The sequence below is a fragment of the Homo sapiens genome, chromosome 6 (genome assembly GCF_000001405.40).
Source record: "Homo sapiens chromosome 6, GRCh38.p14 Primary Assembly".
NCBI classification, from domain to species: domain Eukaryota; kingdom Metazoa; phylum Chordata; class Mammalia; order Primates; family Hominidae; genus Homo; species Homo sapiens.
The window spans coordinates 64,644,760-64,658,513 of NC_000006.12; the positions used below are offsets into that span (position 1 = coordinate 64,644,760).

Sequence of the window (13,754 nt, forward strand, 5' to 3'; positions counted from 1 at the left end):
TAATGGTCTGGGTTCTCTTACACTGCAATTGCTAACTATAGCTCATGTCATATTCTCAGGGTTAGTGCAATCATTTACCTGTGCCAGGCAGCTCTGAATAAAAAAGATGTACATTTACTGGATGGGAGAAATTTCTATATGAGCCTACAGGATGCAGCATCAGCATGTCAGCTTCCTGAACTCTTTTATTAGTAGTTATTTTCTGTGTAAAATTTTATTGTTTTTTAAATCTCTAATCACATTTAGTGAGTAAACAACTAGAAATAATCACTTACCAATTCATTCATCAGAATATTATTTTACATCAACTAGCCTTTAAGAAGTAGCTAAATTTCTTTGGAAAACTAAATACTGTTTACCATTTCTCTTTGCCACCAGACTAATAGAAAGTTTTAGGTATATCTCACTGCTAAAACCCAGGCTGAACACTAAGCAATTGGGAGATTGAAATGAACACATCATTATCCGAGCAATGAAACATTGAAAATCAGACACTGGAGCAGTCTCGTGTTTGAATCAACAAATAAAACAGAAGCATTAAGATTTCAATAAGGTGCTTAAACAACTTAAAGCAGAACGATTTTAGACAAATCACAATATTGAATCCTCTCTGGGAACATCAGTCCTGTATGTAATCATGGATCTGAAATTGACTTCATGGGAAATTCACCAGAAGACCATTTTCTAATTTAACAGAAACCAAGAAACAGCAGTATGAAATAGTAAAGGTGTGGAATATTAAGAGTCAGAGTTTTAAAGTTCTTGACATCAGACGGCGTGGAGATGAGTAAGATCACTGAGAATTAGATATGTGACCTTGGTAAATGACAGATGCTTTTCATCTATAAATATCCACAAGCTTTTTCATCTGTAATATTTGGATTACATTAGAACCAAAATCGTAGGTCTTTTTAAAGATGAATGTAAATAATAAGTGTAATAATAAATGAAAAAATAAACTTATTAGAATGCTGTCAGAAATAAGGCTGCTTAAATGCTAGTGATTTTTTAATTCTCTTTTTTTAGTTCTCTTTTATTGCTATGATTGTTGTTACTGAAAAATTAAATTTACATTATTAATAGTGCAACAGGCATATTGTTGAGATGACTAAGGTTAATCTGTCTCCATTTGCTTAAATACTCTAAAAGAAATACAGCTTGCTATTCTTATCACAAAAGTATATTTTTAAATCTTTTAATGTTTCTGCTAAAATAGAAAATGTGTTAAGATATTAGACAGTTACAGTTAACAAGTTTGAAATATTAATATTGAAAAACTATACTAGGAAGTAAAAATCATTTGGGGATCCTAAATTCTCAGGGTAGCTACACTTCTTGTGTAACAGCTATAGAATCTCAGAAAAAAGAGAATCAAGAGAAACCGGCAGGGGCTACAAGGCATTTTCCAACCCAGTCGTGGAAGCATCACGTCTGCCCTGTTACTTCAGTTGAGGCATAGAGACATATATCGTATTTATAACCCTAAAATCTATTTTGAGTTGTGGATGGGCTGTCAATAAAGAATAACAAATATACATAATCAACTTTGGTAAAATGCTTGAGAAAGGGAAAAAATCAAAAGTGAATCATTCATTGGATTCATTATGAAGATTTCATTGCTCTAGACATATGATTCTGACTCATATAATGGTAAAAGAGACATTTAACCTTCTTTTCCCAAATATTCTCATATTATAAGTACATGATTGTCTGCTTTCAGATATTTATGAAGTTTGAGATATTTATAAGAAAATTCTTTATAGGCAGGGCGCGGTGACTCACTCCTGTAATCCCAGCACTTTGGGAGGCTGAGGCGGGCAGATCAAGAGGTCAGGAGATCAAGACCATCCTGGCTAACACGGTGAAACCCCGTCTCTACTAAAAATACAAAAAAACATTAGCCGGGCGTGGTGGCGGGCGCCTGAGTCCCAGCTACTCAGGAGGCTGAGGCAGGAGAATGGCGTGAACCCGGGAGGTGGAGCTTGCAGTAAGCTGAGATTGCGCCACTGCACTCCAGCTCTGGCGACAGAGCGAGACTCCAGCTAAAAGAAAAAAAAAAAAAAAGAAAATTCTTCATAAATGTTGAGTTGCATTATTCCTCATGAGCATAATAATACTATTAACATGGGATGAGGTCTTGGAGTGTTACCTAGTTTATACTTCTTTGTGACAGTTATGACAAACATTTGTAAGGCATTTTAATAAAGGTGAAGAAAGAGTAGTGAATGGAATGTCAAAGATGATGCCAATAAAGAGGTAAAGTTGATTTTTTTCTAATTTTCCAACTTATAAAAGAAACCACTTACTGTGTAACTGTGAGACATATTCTACTTCAAGAAGTAATATTTACATAATTTAATACTGAAGTAACTGTATGTCCGAAAACATCTCATATAAAAATGTAAATTACATCACTTGAAAATTCTTCATATCATGCCTATTTTTATGTACCAAATTTTAGTAAAGTACCTCCTGACAAAAGAATTTCTAAACAAAAATGACTACAAACAACAGTAATACTGAGAAAGGTCAAAATTAATGCAAAAAAAGAACATATTCTCACATGAAAGGCAGTTTTTAACACACACACACATATTGAGAGAGACAGAGCTAGCTATACTGAATTTCTAGAAGTTATTTAAACTCTACAAGATAAAATTATCTTAATACAGGTAACTTTGTTTTGGAATTGTTCATTATGTTCATGAAGAATACTCAACAACTTTATAAACTATTAAATAAACAAATAGCTATGTACAGATTTTCTATATGTATAAATCACTACAAAGGAAAGATGCTTTATGGCACTATACCAATGATTATCACTTTGTGGCAAGATTATGGCTAATATTTTTTATTTGTGCAATCCTTTAAAAATATTCTGATAATGAACATACATTGTTTCTATAGTCAGAAAATTACATGATAAATTATATTAAAACTCAGTTAAATAAAGAAAAAAAACGCTAGTATTCTTCAAACTTTTTTTCTTTACCAGAGGTTTTACTTCAAACGGCATTTGTTATTCTTTATTGGCAAAATTGTTCAACCGACTCCTTATAGGTAGGAACCTTTTTGCTTATTTAACCTCCAGTTGGTGATCATAAGGGTTTATAGAATGCATGAGTGCCTTCATGAATAAATAAATGGTTTTAAGGAAAAAACATGCTTCCGTAAGAAAAAATATCTAATTTCCTGACATTTGCCTACTAATAATTGATGTGGTCATGCCAATCGCCCTGTGAATTACAGGGTAATTATAACCATTGTATAGCCAGTTATGCTTAAATGGCTGATTAATTAATCATGTATTTTGCATACAAATCTTGTGTTCTCTGGATCCAGCTAGGTGGTGTGTTCTCTCATACACTCATAGCCTTATGATGGCTGGCACTGATGTTATCTCACCTACCTGGTATTTGGACTGAAAAGACTAAAAACTAGGGGCAGAAACAGCTGAGCTCCTTGCCCTCCCCCTGGTCTTACTAGTTTCTCTTTGTCATGGCCTCGAGGTAACCACACTGCTTGTGTGACAACCATAGACTCCCAGAAAAAGAACATCAAGAAAAACTGGCAGAAGCTATAAGCTGTTTTCCTACCTAGCCATGAAAGCATCATTTCTACTCTATTATTTCTGTCTCTATTGGTTGAAATGATCATAAAATTCTGTCTGTGTTTAAGAGAGTGTCATAGACATAACTTCTTGGTAAGAGAAATATCATATAATTTGGAAATATGGTCTGAAACCACTACAATCTATAGGTTAAAGTACAACGGCTTAAGGGCACTTAAAAAACTGATTGATAATAAATTAACACAGTACTTCTAAGAGTGCATAATCTGAGTCAAATCATGTGGAAATGTCAGATAAACCAAAATTGAGGCAAAATTACAAGGTAAACGATTTATAATCATCAAAAAGTAAAGGTCATAAAAGAAAGATAGACTGATAAACCGTTCAGAAGGTACAACTACTAACTATAATTTAGGAATGGATTCTGGAGGGGGAAAAGTAGAAATGGAGAAATAGCTAAAAATAATTTTATTGAGATAATTTATGAAATTTCAGTAAAGCTTGTGGATTAGCAAATTGTTTTACATGGAGTTTAATATCTTAATTGTGATAATTTACCAAGGTTATATAATTGAATATTCATAGGAAATGCTGAAGTATTTAGGGGTAAGGCTCTGAATGTCTGCACATTTTCTCTCATGGTTCAGGAAAAACTTGTAGGCACTTGTGTGTGTATGTGTATACTTTGCACTACCTTATATATACAGAAAGAAAGGAAAATAGAAGAAATGATTTAGAAGATCTAACAGTTAAGAATTGATGAGTCCAGATGAAGAGTATACAAGCATTTTTTTGCTCTTACTGTAATTTTCCTGTTATGTTTGAAATTATAACAAAATTTAATGAAAAAAGACACTTTACCATCATAAAACTTTTCCAGCAACACACTCAACATTCCAGATTTGCCACTATTTAATTTTGAATTATAAGCATATTTGTTAAATCCATACTTGTAACTTTAATAATATGCTTACATATAATATTAGGACTCCATATATTTCTATAACTGCCTTTTTTTTTTGAGATGTAGTCTTGCTCTGTCACCCAGGCTGGGGTGCAGTGCCACGATCTCAGCTCACTGCAACCTCCGCCTTCCAGGGTTCAAGCGATTCTCCTGCCCCTCAGCCTCCTGAGTAGCTGGGACTACAGGCACCTGCCACTACACCTGGCTAGTAGTAGAAACTTTAGTAGAGATGGGGTTTCACAATGTTGGTCAGGATGGTCTTCAACTCCTAACCTCATGTTCTGCCTGCCTCAGCCTCCCAAAGTGCTAGGATTACAGGTGTGAGCCACCACGCCCAGCCAACTGCTTTCTTTTTATAGAAATCATAATTGCTTCTCATTTTTGTTTGCTTTGTTTTCTATTTTACCATCACTAATTTATCTGACAAATATCTCAAAGACATGACAAATCAATGTCCAAGAGAAAAATTTGAGTATCTTTCTTTCAGAAAGTGATGGAACAGTGAACAAAAAATTAGGATTTTTAATGTTTATAATACATTATTAAGAAATTTGATCTCATAAATATATATCTAGAACCATGGCCCAAGGAAATAGAATATATTTTGTGAGGGTACCATGGACTACTCACAGAAATTAACCAGTTTTTAAGCCTCAAAGAAATTTTAATAATTCCCCCAAACCAGAAATCATCATTTAGAACAAATTTTAAAATCCAAATTTAATATAATTTGATATCTAACAAAATTTCACAGCTAACAGAAATATTTTCATTGGGAATTTTAGAAAATACTGTTAAGAAGTTAATGAGTTAAAGAGAAAATATAAATTTAAATGATAATCTAGATATATAGCCATGCAAATACTACATAGCAAAAACTCTGGTTTAATCAAACATTCTCAGAGAAAATTCAAAGTTTTTAATGCATCTATAAGAAAATATTAAAAATTAAGTAAACTAAATCTTTAAGTAGCTACAAAATGAATAAAATAAGAATTAAAATTATATTAATAAAAGTGGTAACACATTAATTTAACATTAATTTAAAAATACTTAACAAAACCTAGATTTTTAGTTGTTGTATTTATCCCTTGAACAATGAGTAGAAAACTTTTAGCCAGTGTGACTAAAAACAAAGAGAAACCCCAAAAAGAAATAAATAACATTAATTACATGAAAGATGAGCTGGTGAAAATGTGGATTAAATGAAAGATTCATAGGAGAATTTAACTTTATACAGCAGTATGCTTATAAACCTATACTAAGTGAATGCTTTTTCAAAGAAAATATAAACTTACAATATTGTTTTGAGGAAAGGGGGAAAATTGGAAAGCACAAATTGTCAGAGAATATAGTAAAAATTTTGACTCCTACAGTCACCAAGCCTGAGCTCTAGTATCATGTGTACTATAAAAATTTTAAGAAATATGTAAATTCATGTTGTATAAACTGTCTCAGAACATAGAAAAAAGGTGCTTTTCACATCTACCTACAAACCTAGAGTAACCTGATATTAAAATAATTCAGGTAAGCACATGTACCCACTAAATAAATTATACACATATCTTTGAAAATCATGAAGAAATCACAAAAATACCACAGCAATATATTAAAAATAATAAAATATAAAAATGTATCTTCACGTTTATTGTTTGACTAATAGAAGAATAAATACAACCTTATTGTCTGGCAACTCCTTAATGAGTTATGATTTACCTATATTATGAAATATTATATTGTTATCATGAAGGAGCCAATTTAACTATTCGTGTAGACAGATTCCCCAATATGGTTAACTAAAAAAGCCAGTAACTTAAAAATTGGTTTCAATGTCTTTCTAACCTAAAAAAAAGGTCCACATGAATATTATAGATAGATAAATGCTTACAGAAAGGATAGAATGGTTACGTATCACTCTGTTAATTGTAATTACTCTGGAAAAAAGACTAAATAGTTGCCAGGAGAAAGATGTTATTTTAAGAAATATTATAGTCTACAGTTCTATATTACTTGAATGCCTCATATTGAGAATGTATCTGTATATATGTGCAGTTCAAAAATTATGTTTGTTTTTGTTTTTTTCCAAAGTACCTAAAAATAAGCCATTAGATTAGAGAGTAGATTCATGGGAATAATCAGAGAGGGAGAGGGAAGAGAGAATATGAAAGATAATAAAGTAAAATAAATGAGGAAGGGAAAATACAGGGCAAAAAACAAACTTGTAAAAATATTCATAAAGGCTAGGCACAGTGGCTTACGCCTGTAATCCCATCACATCGGGAGGCTGAGACGGGAGAATCGCTTGAACCCGGGAGGCAGAGGTTGCCATTAGCCGAGACCGCGCCACCGCACTCCAGCGTGGTGACAGAGCGAGACTCCGTCTCAAAAAAAGGAAAAAAAAATTCATAAAATACATATCAGAGAAAAGTTCAATATTGTTATAAGAGATTTTATATATCACTGAGAATGGAAAATTAGAACAAAATGAATATGAACATAAAGAAAGACATATTAGTGAACAATAAACCTAACTCAATGTTTTCTCTTATTTATCATTTTGATAATCTACAGTTACATAAAGTAAGATACCAATCTTTATCATATTGCTTATCAAAAGATTTTGCTGTTATTGTTTAATGTTGAGATAAAGTTCTGTTAATTGGCATACACTGGCATACAGGCACTCCAAGTGTACTGGTGGAAGTGAAAATTAGACTTTAACAACAGGTTTTAAAAGCTTACAAAAATTTGCATTTACTTTGAGGGAGCAATTTCCCTGCCAAGAACTTATTTTAGGACAGTTATTCTCAAAAACACAAAGATGAACTAATGAGATGATTTTTAGTAGGCAGAATTCTAAGGTGACCCACAGTCATGTATATAATCTTCTCTTAAGTATAAATGAAGCCTACTAATATTATGAAATGTCACTTTGTGATCAAGTTTTATGGCAATAGAGAAATTAACTGGGGGTGGGCCTTAATCTAATCAGGTGAGCTCATTAAAAACAGTATTTTCTCTGATGGGGCACAGAAAGGGCAGAAAGATTCATTCTGGCTGGCCTAGAAGGAAGCAATAATTTGCATTGTGAACAAGGGGGCAAGGACCTAACGATGCATCTAAGAGCTGAAAGTATTTTCTACCTGACAAAAAATGGAAACCTCAGTCCTACAACCACAAGGAAATGAATTTTGCCACCATCCATTGAGCTTGGAAGGAAACCCTAAGGCCTAGAGAGAAACTACAACCCCAACAAACACTCTGATTTTAGCCCAGTGAGACTCTGGACAGAGAACCAGTCACGCCATGCCTGAACTTCTAGTCTACAAAAACTGTGAGAAAATAAATTTGTTTTGTTTCATACTTCTAAATCAGTGATAATTTGTTATGCAGCAATATGAAACTAATACCATATTCATGAAATCGTCATTTATGATAGCAAGTAAATGGAAACCTCCTCTACATGTAGCGATAAAGAACAGGTAAGCAAAATATGACATACTACACACAGCAATTAACTCTCATGTTTGCAAAGCCTATTTACAAACTTCGTAAGAACTATGTATAAAATTCCGTGTGTGTGTACATATGTGTGTGTGTGTTTGTGCATTTTACATACATTCGCACAGTTTTGCATTGCATATTATTCATTAGGGGTTGAATTCTGTCTCTCAGAAAAGGATATTTGAAGTCCTAATTCTCAGTACCCCCGTATGTAACGTTATTTAGAAATAGGATCTTTGCCGATGAAAGTAAGATGGGGTTATTAGAGTGGACTCTAATGCAATCTGACTGGTATCCCTAATTAAAATCAGAAAATTGGGCTAAATGGAGAGAAATGCACCAAGGGAAGACTATCTGGACACAGGGAGACCACCATCTATAAGCCAAGGAATGCCTGATGCTACCAAAAGCTACTAGAGAGGAAAGGAGCTTTCCCTTACAGTTCCCAGCAAAAAATCAACCCTGATAACACCTTGATTTCAGACTAGCACCAAACTATGAAACAATAAATTTATTTTGTTTAAACCACCCAGTTTGTGATAGTTTGTTATGGCAGCCAGGAAAGTAATATAGATACCTCTATGTTCATGTAGATGGAATTGCAACAAAATTTAACAGTGACTGTCTCAGTTATTGGGAATATATTAGGCGGGTTAATACTCAATTTTTAATATTTGGCCACATTTAACCTATAAACGTGGCAATTTGACATGTTTCAGTTCATTAATTTCTTCTATATTTTTTGTGCTCATCTTAATTTTTAATTGTCTTTCTTTTCATTTTTTTGAGACAGGTTCTTGTTCCCCAGGCTGGAAGGCAGTGGCGTGACTGTGGCTCACTGCAGCCTCAACCTTTTGGGCTCAAGCAATCCTCCTGCTTCAGCCTCCTGAGTAGCTGAAACCACAGGCTCATACCACCATGCCCAGCTATTTTTTTTTTTTTTGGTAGAGATGAGGTCTTACTATGTTGCCAAGGCTGATCTCAAACTCCTAGGCTTAAGTGATCATCCCGCCTCTGCCTCCCAGAATGCTTGGATGACAGGAATGAGCCACCACACCTAGCCTCCTCTAAATTTTTGAAGTTTTCATAATATGTGTTATTTCCATAGCCAAATAAATTTGATAATCACAAAAAGTAGACAACCCTCTTCAAATAAGCAAATGTTGGAGATTATTTATATTCATAAAGATGTTAAACCAAGATGAATTGCTAACTTGAAAATCATTTCCTTTCCTATATTCCTTTTTCTGCATTCAGTCTCTTCATATTTACCTTAAGATGTTTTATAGTTTATGCATTATTTGTATATGTCAGGTTTTAAATTGAAATATTAGAAACAGACATTATTGGAAACAGCAGTTTTCTGTTTCTACTAGAGCAAAATAACTAATGGGAGATTAATATTAATAGACTATGCACTGAATTTTTCTTATAAAAGTTCAATTGTCTAATAAATTAATGATACCTCTCACTTTTACAAATAATATGCATATCTCTACTTGCTAGTGTTGATCTGATCATTCAATAATCATTTAAGGATTCATTGAAATCCAAAAATTGGCTAAGAAACATGCTACTGTTGTCTAGAGGGAAAGACAGGCATCAAACAAGCAATTACAAAAATGTATGGTTAGTCTTATAATGGGAAACATGAATTATATGGAACTAACCAAGTCAAAGGTGAGAAAATGCCCTCTGAGGAAGTGATTTGCAAGGTGAAGTTTTCCGATTTGGCAGGATAAGTAGGACCAAGTTGCAGAGGGAGCTGGGGCTTGCACTGTATAGAATGATTAAAAATAGAACAAATGTTGCTTGACAAAGTTCTGTGATTTTAGTTACAACACCTGAAAAATGTTATGATGCTATTGTCTTTTAAATACATGATTTCTTTTGACATGAATCCTGATTTTTTAGAAATATTTTCAAATCTGCATTTTCTGTCACGAATAAATCTCATTAACTGCTCCACTCCAAATGGCCACTTCTGTCACTGCAAATTTATATAGGGACAGCTATACATTATTAACAAGCTATGAAAAGTCACCGGCTAAATGTCACCAAAGCTGAGGTATAGCTGCACCTTGGGATTCATATAGCAAACAGTTTAGTTTTAATCATCCCGGACCACAGGATGTCTTGACATTTGAGCAGCAACTTTTTCCTCTTTAACTTGCACTGGAATCAGACCTCTATTATCTCAGCCATAATTTTTAGCTTAAATTGTGATAGAAAGTTTTACCTTCTAAATTAAAAACGTGAAAAAAATCGATCCATCAAAGAACTTATCATTCATGTAATCATTGCTCACCTGCAGCCCTCTTCCTCTTAACCCCCACTCCAAGAAAGGTGATCAAGGACAGCTATAAAATTCAAACATCTTTAGACCTGCCAGAAATTTTTTGAGCTAAATGCTTTTCTGTTACATTAAGACCTACAAGAAATGACCTTGCTGAACTGCATTAAGAGAGATGATTGATTTTACCGTGAAATATTTTTTATTTTGATAAAATAAGTAGGTTTCATATTTTTAAAATATGCTTTTGAATCTTTTTCTGCTCAAAGTCTAATAATGTTATCAGGATATCAATCTTTGATGCCTACAAAGTGTCTAAATTTATTAATATTTTATAAAAAATATCTAATGCATATTATATATTTGAGTCTTCTTAAGATCTATCATTTTAGCCCTTCATTGTGGAGCATTCACAGTAATTAACATAGTAATTAGAAAAAAAGGGAAACAGACATATCAATAAAGATAATGTTTGCTATATATATGTGTCTTATAACCTCATGCTGTATACCTTAAAATGGTCATCAATACAATACTACAAATGCATTACATAACCTGTTCTGAACAAATATGACTGGCTTACTGATAATTTTTCTATATATATAATAAGTCATGGATAAGCAATTATTAAAAAAGGGCTTATTGTCAAATAAATTGGCTTATTGGTATCTATCATACAGCTCTTACTTTATTTAATAATAAATATCATATGGTCCATAATGAATAGTATAGTGAATGCATACATCAAAATAAAAGTAGATGATGGAATTTAAAACAATGATCATAGCATTGTTTCTTAACTGTTTTATGAGTTAACACCTAAAAATATGTAAATTTATAATATGTCTTCTTTTTATTTCACCAAAAAATACATGTGATGGAAAATTGTCTATGGTTGTCTTCACCTCTTTGAAAAGTTAACAGCATCACTTTTATGTTTGCTTCTATTTTCTCTATTTTATGAACAACATTCAAGTAGTATTTGTCAATTACCTATTATGTTATGAGGTATTGTAGGTTTCATACAGTGATGAGCACCATGGACAAGATCTTTGTAGATATTACAATCAAATACAGAGAGAAAAATTAGTATCACAGAAAAAAAAATAAATGCTGCTATGTTTTACGATGGTGTCTAATGAGAGATACAACTTTATTGAGTGGGTTGGTGGGAGGTGGGGAAAGAAGATTTTCCCATACCTGTTCTTTTGAGAGTGAGTTAGGGGAGCATTAGCAATTATTCTTGAATAACAGGCTTAACTCAGGCACATATTTAGTCAACTAACCCTACAACCTTGACTGATTGATGGAGAATATGGTAGGTCTTGAGAACTTTTCCAAGACAGGAATACCTTAGTTGGGAGTCTCCAGAAACAGACCTTGAGCAAAAAGTTTGAGTAGAAGTAGTTTTTTAGGAGATATAAAACACACCTAAAGTTGAGTAAGTTGGTAGATGAAAGAGAATGTAGAAAATGAAATTAAATCAACTATTAAAGTGGGTGCTTAGAGGTTATTCCCCTAGGAAACTCTGATCAACCGTAAAAAACACACACTTCAGAATTATCCCACCTGATAGACTAAGAAAGCTAAGGTGTGTATACCCAAACTTCCATCAGTAATTGTTGGGGGCTGCATCCTGGATTGGGAGGATGAGAAGGGGAAGGGGGTTAATTCACCAGAATTTCTGTTCTGCTTTGCATGAAAGTAGTTTCTGAAATAAACAAGCTCATAAATAAATACACAGTTTGCTGGAAATTGGCTGTAAAAGGTTGAAATGGTAGGATGAGAGGAGTAGGAGTGATAGCCACCCATTAGACAACAGCATGACAGAGTGAGCTAAGGTATTTGCATCTATTAAGATTATCAGTCTCCCATTATTATTGTGTGGGAGTCTAAGTCTCTTTCTAGGTCTCTAAGGACTTGCTTTATGAATCTGGGTCCTCCTGTATTGGGTGCATATATATTTAGGATAGTTAGCTCTTCTTGTTGAATTGATCCCTTTACCATTATGTAATGGCCTTCTTTGTCTCTTTTGAACTTTGTTGGTTTAAAGTCTGTTTTATCAGAGACTAGGATTGCAACCCCTGCCTTTTTTTGTTTTCCATTTGCTTGGTAGATCTTCCTCCATCCCTTTATTTTGAGCCTATGTGTGTCTCTGCACATGAGATGGGTTTCCTGAATACAGCACACTGATGGGTCTTGACTTTTTATCCAATTTGCCAGTCTGTGTCTTTTAATTGGAGCATTTAGCCCATTTACATTTAGGCTTAATATTGTTACGTGTGAATTTGATTCTGTCATTATGATGTTAGCTGGTTATTTTGCTCATTAGTTGATGCAGTTTCTTCCTAGCATTGATGGTCTTTACAATTTGGCATGTTTTTGCAGTGGCTGGTACTGGTTGTTCCTTTCCAAGTTTAGTGCTTCTTTCAGGAGCTCTTTTAGGGCAGGCCTGGTGGTGAGAAAATATCTCAGAATTTGCTTGTCTGTAAAGGTTTTTATTTCTCCTTCACTTATGAAGCTTAGTTTGGCTGGATATGAAATTCTGGGTTGAAAATTCTTTTCTTTAAGAATGTTGAATATTGGCCCCCACTCTCTTCTGGCTTGTAGAGTTTCTGCCGAGAGATCAGCTGTTAGTCTGATGGGCTTCCCCTTGTAGGTAACCCAACCTTTCTCTCTGGCTGCCCTTAACATTATTTCCTTCATTTCAACTTTGGTGAATCTGACAATTATGTGTCTTGGAGTTGCTCTTCTCGAGGAGTATCTTTTTGGCATTCTCTGTATTTCCTGAATTTGAATATTGGCCTGCCTTGCTAGATTGGGGAAGTTCTCCTGGATAATATCCTGCAGAGTGTTTTCCAACGTGGTTCCATTCTCCTTGTCAATTTCAGGTACACCAATCAGATGTAGATTTGGTCTTTTCACATAGTCCCATATTTCTGGGAGGCTTTGTTCACTTCTTTTTACTCTTTTTCCTCTAAACTTCTCTTCTTGCTTCATTTCATTCATTTGATCTTCCATCACTGATACCCTTTCTTCCAGTTAACAAATCGGCTACTGAGGCTTGTGCATTCGTCACGTAGTTCTCCTGCCTTGGTTTTCAGCTCCATCAGGTCCTTTAAGGACTTCTCTGCATTGATTATTCTAGTTATCCGTTCGTCTAATTTTTTTTCAAGGTTTTTAACTTCTTTGCCATGGGTTCGAACTTCCTCCTTTAGCTCGGAAGTTTGATCGTCTGAAGCCTTCTTCTCTCAGCTCATCAAAGTCATTCTCCGTCCAGCATTGTTCTGCTGCTGGTGAGGAGCTGCATTCCTTTGGAGGAGGAGAGGTACTCTGATTTTTAGAGTTTCCAGTTTTTCTGCTCTCTGTTTTTTCCCCATCTTTGTGGATTTATCTACTTTTGGTCTTTGATGATGGTG

General features: G+C 34.0%; 1 protein-coding gene across 2 annotated transcripts in view, besides 1 other annotated feature; it reads right to left on the reverse strand.

Moving 5' to 3' along the window:
* Positions 1-13,754, reverse strand: part of EYS (eyes shut homolog) — a 1,987,247-nt gene that overhangs the window by 924,780 nt on the left and 1,048,713 nt on the right. The gene's annotated exons all lie outside the window — the stretch shown is intronic.
* Positions 10,302-10,471: an enhancer, noted in NCBI's record as "experimental_92457 CRE fragment used in MPRA reporter constructs". NCBI's record gives its function as "activates a minimal promoter by MPRAs in K562 erythroleukemia cells, with activity observed for the introgressed 6:65365039 variant allele {active_cell/tissue: K562}" and the evidence as "EXISTENCE:reporter gene assay evidence [ECO:0000049][PMID:34662402]".